The sequence below is a fragment of the Homo sapiens genome, chromosome 6 (genome assembly GCF_000001405.40).
Source record: "Homo sapiens chromosome 6, GRCh38.p14 Primary Assembly".
In the NCBI taxonomy this organism is placed as follows: domain Eukaryota; kingdom Metazoa; phylum Chordata; class Mammalia; order Primates; family Hominidae; genus Homo; species Homo sapiens.
Genome location: NC_000006.12, coordinates 130,744,853 through 130,758,024, shown reverse-complemented (window position 1 = coordinate 130,758,024; position 13,172 = coordinate 130,744,853). Strand labels below are relative to the sequence as shown.

Here is a 13,172-nt window from a genome sequence, read left to right as displayed (position 1 = left end):
CATCTTCTTCATGGCCATAAACCTTCCCTGGGAGAAGGGCTCTATGGCAGTCCTTATTATTGAGGAGTTTCTGCTTTTAGTCAGATCAGGGAGGCTCTGAGAAAGCTTCCTTCTACATCTGTTGAATCTCACACGTTTTCAGCTCAAAATAATCTTTATGCCAAAGCACATATTTTGGAGTAGCATATTCTGATCCCCTTCAATTACAGTGACATACATAAACAATACTGAGCATTAACACTTCTTATTCTTAATTGCTTTGTCCAGGCTTACCCTGTTATTACCATATACCCCCTATGAAAAGGACAGTAAAATTATCACCAAGATAATATTTTTGTTGTTGAGTGTTATTTTAAGGTGTCTGCAGGGCATATCTTTAGAAGGAGCTTCTAAATGGCACCTTTAGTAATAAAACCTGAACTAGAAATGCACATAAAATCTTTTCGATGGACTCTGTTAAGGTTCTGAGTCCTTTCGTTATTTTGTGTATTTAACCACGTAGGCATATGGCGTAAGTTCTGAAATTTTAGAGAACAGGGATGCAGAACATTATTTTATTTTATCAAAGTATTTATGTCATTTCTTTTTTCCCTTATAATCTTTTATAGAACTATAGCTCCAGATTTGTTTCTTTAAGTACATTCCTGATACAGAAAGAGAAATCATCAAGTAGGGATCAAACATAACCTTTGGAAATTATTTTTCATGCTTAACTTCTAGAAGCATGAAACCAAACTTTTCTTATTTGGATGATACAAATAACTGTATCTAAATTTTCAGTAATTTCTGGTTTAGTTTTAGATCTGTATTTGGTTTAGTTAAGGTGTTGCATTTTCAAGATAAAACAAAATGACTTTTGCTTTTTAAAATGCTCATTAGAATTTCCATGTCAAGGCTACAGCATGTCAGTTGTAGTATATGTGTCTTTCTGTATTCCAATATCACCAACATTTTTCTAGTTACCTTACCACTTTGGGTTAAACTCACACTGCAAGTTGCTATGACAACAGAGATATTGTGAATGCTTAACCCAGTATGCTCTCTGTAAATCACACTTTTAAGGGTAATTTTTCTAACAAAGCATTGTTTAAATTGCTTCGAAGTTACAGCAATTAAGTCTTTGATTATAAATATCAGAGTGGAAAGAAAAGCAAATTTTGGAACTCCAAAGCAGGGTTATAATGCTAACAGCAGACAGATACAGTTTTAATGGGTGGGGCATCACATATTTTGCATATGTTTCTATTGATTTTGGGCAGGGTAATGCAGGCATCTCACTTAACCCATTTATAGACTGGTAAAATTGTTCACTCTGTCCTTTCTTCTATTTAAACTTATCTTCATTATTATAATTTTTCAGTATGTTGCCATGAAAATGGCCTCTTCTGACCAACTGACATGGAAATAACTTATTTTCTACTGGTAATTTAATTTCATCCATTAAAATTGTGTCTGTCTTAGATTGCCACCTTTGGTTCCAACTCGTTTTATGTATGTATGTAGCTGGGTGGTCTCTTGTGAGATTTTTGTCAAATAGGGCTGCGATCATCTCATATCTCAACTGGGGCTGAAGAATCCACTTCCAAACTCACTCATGTAGTTGTTGACAGACCTCAGTTCCTCAGAAGCTGTTGGCCAGAGGCCTCCCTCTGTTCCTCTCCAGTGGGCTTCTCCACAGGCCAGCTTGAAACATGGCAGCTGGCTTCCCCCAGAGCAAATAATCCAAGGAAGAGAGAGTATGAGAGAGAGAGAGAGAAAGAGAGAAAGAGAGACAGTGTGAGAGAGAGCTAGCCAAGACCACCCAAGACAGAAGCCTCCGTCTTTTCATAACCTCACTTCAGTGACATTTCATCATTTCTGCAATTTTCTATTCATTACATGCTGGTCATTAAGGCCACCGTATACTTGAGGGGAGGGAAATTAAGTTCCACCTCTAGAAAGTAAGAATATCAAAGAATTGTAGACCTATTTTTAAAAACCACAACGGCAGAACTATGTGGAATGTTAATTATTATTTCTCTTCTGATGCTTTTTACCAAATCTACTGTGGCTACATAATCGTTTAAGACATTAATTTGTTTTTGTGGTTCTCTTATATTTTTCCATTTCTCTTTTCGTTTTCTTTTTTAGGAAGTAGATAATAAGACTGTTGCCTCTAGGGATTTATGTGGCTGAGGGGAAAACAGTACTGGCTTACAAGTGTTCCTGGCTTTTGCTTTACAAAAGCCTAATCACTTAGAAAAACACTGAGTATTTTCGTAGACACTAAGAAGGGTGGGTTATTTGTGGAAACAACCAACATATTTGGCAGGTGAATACAGGAGGGGAAAAAAAAGAAAGGAAGCTTCTAGAGGGCATGAGAGACCTGGGAACCGGCACCAAACTTTCTAACCCATCACCTAGTTGGGTCTCCCATGAGATGCTGGAGAGGTATGGTTATGCAGTTTATCTGTAAGAGGGACCTGGGTTGCCTCCCAGAAGATCCCCACAGCCGTGGGTGGCAGAGGAAGCTCAGAGAGCCTCCAGAGCCAAGAGGGCCAAGCAGACAAGGGCAGTGACATGTGGGAACCACCACCATCCTTTTAGTCATGTGTAAAAATACAGAAAGATCAGCATAACCTAGGGATGCCCCAGTGAAATGGGGGCCTAGGGCCAGAAATTGAGTTATAGAAAATTAAAAAATATTTTCTTCAGCCTTGAGTTGTGACCAAGTCCCTGACAACCACACTTCTGTAGTACCAAGCCTTGGCCTGGTCTGTGCCAGGGCCTTCCTGTGTAATCTCCACTGATCTCTGCTGCAGCCCCTTACAGATGACACCACAGGCTTAAACAGGTTCTGCAACTTAACCAAACTCTGAGGGCCATAAGAGGCAGGGCTAGGATTCAAGCCTAACCTCCACTCCAAGGACTGGACCTTTACATAAAACTGGATGGAGATTAAGAGCTTTCAAAGTACTTATTAAATATGTATCACTCATCCATGAGAGCTCCTGAAGGCCAAAGAGGATTTCAAATACAAGTGACTGTGCACAAATAGAAAAGGAGGCCGGATGATGGTTCTTGGCTGAAAAGTTCCACTCTTGGCTAGGGCAATGAGCACATGTGTAACTATTTCCATGTACCTGTCTCTCCACTAGACTGAAGAGCCTTCCGGGCAGAGACTGGGTTATAGTTAGCTCTTTTCCCTCAAACCCATCATGGTTGGAGTTGAGTGCTCCGATTGGCTTTGTTGCCATTATTTTTCAGCTTGATCACTTTATAATTCCTCAAATGTCTTACTATGCTTTCGAAGGGGAGAGGAGGAAGAGGCTAAATAGTGATGTGTATTTATATACAGATGTTTAATTTTTCTGAGTGATTGCTCATTTATATGAATATGAACAATAAAAATATTTTTTCTAGCATTCTATCCATTGGAAATAGCTATGATCTCCTTTAACTCTGATATTTGACTCACTAGAACATATCTTCATTTATCATATAAGTTGGAGCTTGCTGTATATTAAAATAGAGATTGAGAAGTTGGGTGCAGTAGCTCATGCCTGTAATCCAAGCACTTTGGGAAGCAGAGGCGGACAGATTGCCTTGAGCTCAGAAGTTTGAAACCAGTCTAGGCAACCCGGCGAAACCCAGTCTCTACAAAAACATAAAAATTAGCCAGGCATTGGTGGCCCATGCCTGTGGTCCCAGCTACTCAGGAGGCTGAGGCTATAGAATCCTTTGAGCCTGGGAAGTGGAGGTTGCAGTGAGCAGAGATTGTGCCATGCACTTCAGCCTAAGTGACAGAGATCTAAAAAAAAAAAAAAAAAAACAGTGAGAGATTGAGAAGATATGTTACACAGAATAGAGATAAATATGGAGCTAGAGATCTGGTTAATAAAATGTTAAATAAAATGACTTTTATTATATCAGGTTACTCTACATGTTTCAGTAAAATAACGATTCATCACAACCCAACTTTATTTAGAGCCTGTTACTGTTGTTCTCTTATTTTACTTTAAAGAGAAAAATCTCATTCTTTCTCTCTCTCACATACACATATATATGCACACACATACAAGGACTACAAATTTTTTTTCTTAAATATTTTTCTGATTACAAAAGTAAATATTCTGAGGGCCAAAAATGTCAAAAATCCAGAAAAGCCAAAAGCAGAGGAAAGAAATCATTTAATCACCCAGAGATAAGTATTTCTAACCTTTTCCTGATACTAGTTGAAATTATATAGTATATGTAATTTTGTATTCTGATTGACATCTTAACATACATTTTCTTCTTCATTAAGAACCTTCAGATATATTACTAAATCAAGAAAGTTAATGAGGCTTAAAACAAAAATAATTCCTTCATTTATGCTTTTAGCCAGAACATAAAAAGAATTTGAATACCTTGATTCCCTGAGTGTGTAGGAACATTTTTATATGTTGTCAGTTGCATGCGCTTCTGCTTGACTCAACAAATGTTTATTGAACACCTAATATATGAGAGATATACAAAAGAGTTTCATAGGTTCTGCCGCTGACACTCAGGACTGAAAATTTAGTTGAAAAGGCAAAATTTTAATATACCGAAGAGTTATATAATAATGCAAACAATAGATAACAGGACTCCAGAGATGACAGCCATGGAGGGCAAGAATACAATTATAGGCATAATCACAAGCCAGCCTGTCAGGGTATACATCCATTCACCTAGGACCTTTCTGCCAATCTACTATTCCCCAGTTCCTTGAAGAAGCATGCAGATAGTAGGGGAACAAGAATAGGCACAGCCCTTGAGTATGACAGCAGGGATGGGACAGTGGGAGATTATTATTTATTTTCTTTTTGTCCACATTCCTTCCATTAATTGGCACAACAGGTTGAAGACACATGCAAACCTAGATTTGTAAACCAATGGTAAAACCATGCATTCATGATTGAAAATACACAAAAGGATAAGCTACTGTTATGGATTCCACTTAAGTACATTGACTACTCCCAAGGTTAATGCAGATCAGTTTTCCTTAACTTCTAATGTAAACATGTGTTCTTCTCTGAACTCAGAATGGCTTAGGTCTTTTCTAAAAGTATGGAAAATATATTTTTAATGTACTTCAAATAGCTGAAAGGAATATTTTTTAAAAATTCTTTGAGAAGCTAAAAATCAATGTAGAAACTTTAAAAGATGAATTTTTCAGGAAGAGAATTGAAAACTGGCTTGAACAAACACTACAGTTGATCAATTATTATAGTTAGAGTCACAGTCATTACAATTAAACTGTAACCACATCACACTCAATATAAGCATCAACAGAAGCAGTAAGAAATCTACACTTAAAGTGTTATCTTTTTGTCTTCAGCTTTCCGAGATTCCCTGCAGCGTTGGATTCAAATACTGGTTCTACGACACATTAAGAATTACCAGCAGTGCTTATAATCCCTGTGAAACATGGGTAAGATTTTTCTTGCTTAACATCCTTTACAAACTGTAATTTCCATGAAGTTAAAGTATTTTACACTGTGACCTTGAGCATCAAGTTGTGGCCTTAGCAAGTGAAGAATTATGCCATTGCACAATGTCTAGAAATGCAACATGAACATATTAGCAATGAATCTTGTTTCACATCATTGAGTAATTGTTACAGATTGTCTTTACACTGTATTATCACCCAAAAGATGCAACACAGAAAAAATAAGACCACTCAGAGACTCAGTAGCCAAAGTGACAACTATAAATCGGATTTCATTTATGGTATTTATCTGTGTTTAATGCTGTAAATATTCAATTTTTAGTATTAGAAGGACTACTAGAAAAGACACCTGAATGGATAGGAAAAGAGTTTCAGTACTTTTATTGATCCATTAATTCTGAAGTGAGCAATACTTCCTTGATGTCTAGATGGTAACCTCTAATGAAGGAGGCTGCCACGCCTGTGACCCCCACCCTCTGTTCTGCATCCATTCAGAAATTACACCTCCTTAATGCACTAGGGTAAAAGTAGGAGGAGATGAGTTGACACGAGGGAGGGGGGATTTCCCACTATTTTGTAGATTCTGACAGAAACAAAAAGCTTGGTGTAAGCACAGTCAGCCTTTGTGTCCATGGGTTTTGCATCTATGAATTCAACCAACTGCGAATTGATTTTTTTTTAAAAAAAGGACATTTGTGTCTGTAGTGAAATGTGCAGATTTTTCTCCTTGTCATTTTTCCCTAAATAATACAAAACTACTATTTACATAGTATTTACTTTGCACTAGGTATTATATGTAATCCAGAGAGATTGAAAGTATATGGGAGGATATACATAGGTTATACACAAATACTATGGCCATTTTATATCAGGAACTTGAGCATCTGAGAATTTTGCTATCTGTGAGGGGTTCTGTAACAAATCCCTCAAGGATATTGAGGAATTACTATATTTTTCTCTACTATTACAACTATATACTTTTTTGTTGTATCTCATTTGTTCAGATTATCAGGTTGAAAGGAATTAGAGCCAGGGTAAAATATCCCATCTCAGCACTGCAGAGTCACCCTGGAACAAGATGAGCATGCCAAGGTCCAGACATTTGGGTGGAAGGTGTACATGTTGACTTTGTCCACAACATGGATTGCTTGTTTCAAGGATAAATTTTAAAACTTGCCTAGGACTGTTATCCTTAAGATTCACAGTAAGAGTAAACTTAAAAAAATATATAGTGCATGAGCCAAACATTTTCAGAATTGTTTGGTATCCTCAATAGATTGCAAAAATACACTGCCTATATGGAAGAGAAGCCAACAGACATAGAAAACCAGCTGGGATTAAGGGAAAATTAGAATGAAATGAAAAAAGAATTTTCATTTAAAATTGGCTGGGGTGGTAAAGAATGTCAAGAAAATAAAATTAAAATAGAACTAAAATTTACCTTTTTGTCAGTAAAAAGCATAGCTCAGAAGAAAAGTGAATCAGTGATATGGAGAACAAACTTAAGAAGATCTCCCAGATTGCAAAAGAAAGGGAAAAACAGGTTTTTGAACATTAGAGGATAATAGTCATTTGGAACATAGAGACAAGGTGTTTTGTAAGGATTATATTTGTGTTTCTGAGAAAGAAACAAGAAAGTAAGTGTATTAAGAACAGTAAATAGGCAGGTGCGGTGGTTCACACTTTTAATCCCAGCACTTAGGGAGGCCAAGGCAGGCAGATCGCTTGAGCCTGGGAGTTTGAGACCAGCCTGGGCAATATAGGGCAGAGATCCTGTATCTACAAAAAAATATATATATATATAAATGAGCCTGGTGTGGTGTTGCATGCCTGTAGTCCCAGCTACTCAAGGGCTGAGGTGAGAGGATCACTTGAGCCCAGGAGATCAAAGTTGCAGTGAACCATGATTGTGCCACTGCACTCCAGCCTGGGTGGCAGAATAAGACCCTGTCTCAAAAGAAAAATGAGTGAAGGCACAAAATTAAAGATATTTTTGAAATTGATAAAATTCCTTAAAGGAGTTTACTGAGATCTAAGCTAAATCAATTAAAGGAGAGTGCTACATCCTGAGGAAAAATTTCAACCATTGCTGTATAATTAAACCAAATTTTATGTGATCCCCAACCTTTCCCACATACATTCAGCTGTTGCTTTTCTTTGTAACATTCAGGAGTTCATTTTAGAGGGTGTTAGATTCCAAGTCAGATGTTCTTCCCTCCCTGATTGGCTAGGATTTCATGGCAAAATATTCTTCTCAATCTTGGCATAAATTCCATCAATCAAGAGGTGAAGCATTGCAGTCAAAAAGAGCACTCCAAGGTTGTCATCATTTTCTAGAAAAATAATTAAACTTTGGTCTTCCTGTGGCTCAGAAAACCCACTATGGCCAGACACCACTGGAATGGCAATACTTGTCTTTGAAACAGCATATCGAACCCATTTAGCTGAGGGCTGGTGAGGGTGTCATGCCTAGTCATGAGAGCACAGGTGCATCACATGCCATTGGGTAGTATTCTTGTTGCATATAAATACCAAATGATCACCTTAGGATTTAAAGGTGATAGCAGCAAGAGGGAAACAGAGGCTGATCCCCAGTGAAACCCAACCTTCAAACTAAAGACAAACTAAAGCCTGAAAATCAAGCTGCCAGTTCCGGGTAAAGCCTCTGACTGGAGTAAGAACTTCCTTGATGCCTTTTAGCCAATCAAATGGTGCTTTTTCTAGGCTCACCCAGGGACCAGTCAAACACACTCCCCTATTCTGAGCCCATAAAAACCCTGGACTCAGCCACACATTGGCACTACCTGCCTTGGGTAGGGGCTACCCACATTGGGTCCATTCTCTGCTGAGAGTTATTCTGTTGTTCAATAAAACTCTTCTCTGCCTCACTCACTCTTCAGTCATCCATGTAACCTCATTCTTCTTGGACACGGGACAAGAACCTGGGACTGCTGAACAGTGGGTGTGAAAGGAGCTGTAACCCTGTAGTACTCCTGTCCACTGCCAGCAGGGGGTGTGTACCCCACATGATGGGAAGTGGCAGTGGGACTGGGCCTGCCCAGGAGCTGTGGGCCGAGATGGGGCAGTGAGACCGAAGGAGCTGGGACATGCCCCTGTTTGCTGAAGTGTGTGGATGGTGGGAAAGAATGAACTGTGACATGAACAAGCTGCAACCCTTCTGGGGCCCAGAACTTGGGACTCCCTGAGCCAGAGCTGTGACATGCATAACACCCCCTTTGCATCTCTGTGGTTGCTGGCATCTCTGAGATTTTCAGATGCCACCGTATTCCCCTCATCCAGATGCTGGTGCCCAGGCTGGAAGCTGCTTGCAGTATGCTTGGTCCAGCCACAGTCTCGCATGGAGCTGGCACCTGTTATGGGACCTGTAGCTGCCCGTCATGCTGCAGCAGCCAGAGCACCTGGCTTGCCCTTGGTGGGTGTGAGATCTGGGCTGGTAGCAGGAGCCAAGAGCAACCTGCCAGGCTGAGTGGGCAGAGCAAGTCCAGCGGTGAGCCTGGAGCCGAGTGAAGCTCTGGAAGGAGCACTGCCGACCATGGAAATTTCTGGCTGGCAAAGTGGCACCCCAAAGAATCCTTTGTCAATTCAGTTCTTTAGTTTCAATATCAGAATCCAATGACAGTTAATGGATGAAGACAGAAAAATAAAGGGGAAAAAAACCTATGAGATCAAGCAGAAATAATTCATTGTTTACAGAAATACAAAAATTACTGACTTAAGATATTTCTCCAGCAATACCAATTAGCAAAAAGCTGTGGAGCAATGTCTACAGAATTTACAACAAAAAGATCATGAACTGAGAATGTCTGCAAAGTCGTCCTCAGGTATGAAAATGCCCAGAGAGCCTACATGTGTACCTTTCTTGGAAAAATTACTTAAAGGATTACTCCAGCCAAGATGAATTACGTTAAAAAAAAATTCAGCAATAGTCCAACTTTATAAAGAGGCTCTTGAACTTAAATTACTTAGTTTGAATTCCAAATGTAGAAATAAAATTGCATAGGTGGTGTCATTGAATATTGAATAGTCTGGGACAAACCTTCATAGAATTGGGCTCTCTCAACTGTTTCTCTTCTGCTTCTGCGTTTCCCACAACAGTTCCAGAAAATGTGTTTCTTGAGTGCCATCCTTCACCCCAGAGTTCAGGGGGAATCCCTCACTATATCTGATGATTGTTTAAAACATTACTTGATGAGGCTGGGTTCCAGTTCTTGCTAACAGTAGCTAAATGCAGTTACGACACTGAACTTAGGAAAAGCAACAAAACCAGAAGTTTCTTTTCTCCAAGCTCTGTCTCCTCACCCCTCAATACACATAACAGAGTTTCCTGGAAAAATAGTGGAAACCATTCTTATTGCCAAGTAATCTGCAAACATTTTCTATTTCCTTAGAATTCATTTTTAATGACCTGAATAATTTACTTTTTTCTAAGGAAAAAAGATAAATAAGTGAATATATTACCTGCTACTAGCCTCTCTGCACAGCATCTTCCACCAAAGTTTTACACTATTTCTCTGCTCATTATGCCAAAAAATTATTACCTATTGTGTACTTCTAAATATATAAAATATGCAAAGAAAAAAGGTCATATTTAAAATTATGAAAATATTAAATAGTGATTATCTCTGGGTGGGACCCTCAATTATTTTCATCTTCTTTATTTTCCAAATGTTCAATAATGTCACTATATTACTTTTATAATCAGAAAAAGATGTTTTAAAATCAATTTATGCAATTTTTTGTTTTATGTCATATGGTTACAATTATTTCAGAATAAATAGCAAAACGTCTGGACCTAAATACACACACACACACACACACACACACACACACCCATGATTAATAGTGATTATCTCAGGGTGATGAATTATGGGGAGTCACTTCCTCATGTGTATTAAAAATATGTTCTATAATCATAACAAGTTATCTGATTATAGAAAATGCTGTGATAAAACTCAAGGGTGCAGGAGACCTTTGAGGAGCATATATTCACCCATACCATAAAATATTTATTGTGTTGTATTTCTGTTTCACTTTTAGAATTTCATGAACTATAAGACACCCTACAGAATAAGCCACCTGGTGCCCAGTCAGATATAATAAAACAGGCAGAAGCAGAGAGGTAACATATTAGGACTCTTTCGTCACGCTGCATGTGTCACAAGAGAGCAAGGACTCTTTTAATTACTAGTCATTTAAATTTCTGATAGATAGTATCACAAAATTTAATCTTGTTAATTTACTTTGGCAGCTTGACACTGGGCTCATTTACAATCCTTTGAGGGAATTGCAAATTTCCCGTGCTTGGATTTGGGGTGAAGAGGCACTATTCATATAAGCTGATGTGGTGGAATTCATGGCTAAACATTAGTTAGGATATATTTTTAGCCCATCAGAAGCCTAAGTCATGAGTTTTAATGTTTGAAAGAAATAGTACAGTAAAAAAAAAAAAAAAAAACAGTTTTAAATGTATAAAAATTCAAACATGATTCAACACCTAAACTTACAACTTAAAAGAATACGGTTCTTTAAGACAGGTCTTAAAGCCTAAGTTCTGTTGCTCAGACTAGAGTGCAATAATGCAATCACAACTCACTGCAACCTCAAACTCCTGGGCTCCAGTGATGCTTCCACCTCAGCCTCCTGAGCAGCTAGGACTACAGATGCATGCACCAAGCCTGGCTGATTTATTTTTATTTTTTTTTGGAGAAATGCAGGTCTTGCTTTATGTTGCCCAGGCTGGTCTCAAACTCCTGATCTCAAGTGATTCTTCCATTTTGGTTTCTCAAAGTACTAGCATTTCCGGCATGAGCCACCATGCCTGGCTATTTAAAACTTTTTAAATCTAAAATGTTATCATTGGAATATTTTTACATAGTTATAGGTTATGGTTATGAATGCTAAATTATACTGACCCCTCCCAGAAAATTATCTTGACTACTATTGTAAGCAGTGTAGTTTCTTTAAAAACTAAGCTCTTGGCTGGGTGTGGTGGCTCATGCCTGTAATCCCAGCACTTTGGGAGGCTGAGGTGGGTGGATCATTTGGGTTCAGGAGTTCAAGACCAGCCTAGCCAACATGGTGAAAACCTATCTCTACTAGAAACACAAAAATTAGCTGGATGTGGTGTCAGTTGCCTGTAATCCCAGCTACTCCGGAGGCTGAGGCAGGAGAATCGTTTGAACTCAGGAGATGGAGGTTGTAGAGAGCCAAGATCGCACCACGGCATTCCAGCCTAGGTGACAGAGCAAGACTCTGTCTCAAACAACCAACCAACCAACCAACCAAAAAACTAAGCTCTCATCCAGTTGTGGCTCATGCCTGTAATCCCAGCGCTTTGGGAGGATGAAGTGAGAGGATTGCTTAAGGCCAGGAGTTCAAGACCAGCCTGGACAACAGTGACCCCATACACACACACACACAAAGCCTGTCACAATAATGCATGCTTGTAGTCCCAGCTACTTAGGGGATTGATATGGAAGGATCATTTGAGACCAAGAGTTCGAGGCTGCAGTGAATTGTAATTGTGCCACTGCACTCCAGCCTGGGTGAGAGAGCGAGACTGCATATCTTAAAACTAAATACTAAAAATAAAAATCTAAGCTAATCCAGTCTTAGAATGTAAACTTCACCAACACTGGAAGTTTTCTTCATTTCACCTCCATCTAGGCCTGCAGTTTAGCACCAGGAGCATTTGGGATTTGAACAAACTCCATGTGTCAGGCATGGGACAAAGTGGGTAACCAGGTCAAGTTAAAGAGCAAAAAAAGAAAAAAAAATGTGAAAAGAGTAAAAAGTTTTAAAAGTGTATTTGTGGATATTTTGAGAACCATCAGCAAAGACTTTTCAGTCATGGAAGAGATTTTTAACTTCCAGGTTGTGTTTTTACAAACTTCACACAGGTCAAATGTCAAAAAGGCCTTGAGTGAATATTTATCAAGCATGAATATTCATCTCCAGGGGAGAAAGGATTCAAAACAAGGGAATTTAAATATTTTCTTTTTCAAAATGCAAATATATCTTTTTCATGGCTGTTGCATCCGTGGGTGGTCCCTTTCATATCAGTACTAGTCTCTTTTCTTGAAAGCCAATAAAGCGCAATTTCATAGAGTGATAAAATAGGTAGTAAAGATGATCATGTTTCAAATATTTGGATCATAAGGAAATCAACCCATTAAACATAAGACCAGTGGACAAATAAACCTTATACCTAAATAAATGTTGGAGCAAGTTATTTGCTCTCTGATGGGAGTGTTTTCAACTTTATCACCACTGTCTCTGATTTCTAGGCACATCTTGATGTTGTTAACTGCATATGCTCTTTATTATTAAAAATTGAGAACCTGAAAAAGCTGCCAGCACACAGGAAAAATATGAATTGGTTCATTACATCTGTTCATTTCCTCTTCTGAATCTCTGCTCTCAGAGGACTCTCAGCTAACCTAGGAAGGCAAGGCAGAAGAAAGTGCTGACCTTTATCTTCTTAATAAGTAACTGAAAAGCAAATCCAGACAAATAAATAATCAGTTTTATTATTTAGACATCAATATTGTCACATGATTAACTTGAACTATGCAAAGTTTAAGTTCAATCTGCCAGCTTTGAAATTTGTTGTAGGTTTAAGCCTGTATTTTATTTTATTTTACTCTGGGTTTGGGGTTTTTGACATAACAGAACAAGTTATCTAATGGCCATCTCATTT

The 13,172-nt window shown here is 38.4% G+C and overlaps 1 long non-coding RNA gene across 1 annotated transcript in view; it reads left to right on the top strand.

The window, feature by feature from the left end:
• The window catches only part of LOC105378003 (uncharacterized), a 29,316-nt gene that overhangs the window by 12,647 nt on the left and 3,497 nt on the right, over positions 1 to 13,172 (top strand). Inside the window, exon 2 of the long non-coding RNA XR_942991.2 lies at positions 5,342 to 5,434. This is a non-coding gene — a long non-coding RNA (uncharacterized LOC105378003). The remainder of the gene's footprint in view (positions 1 to 5,341; positions 5,435 to 13,172) is intronic.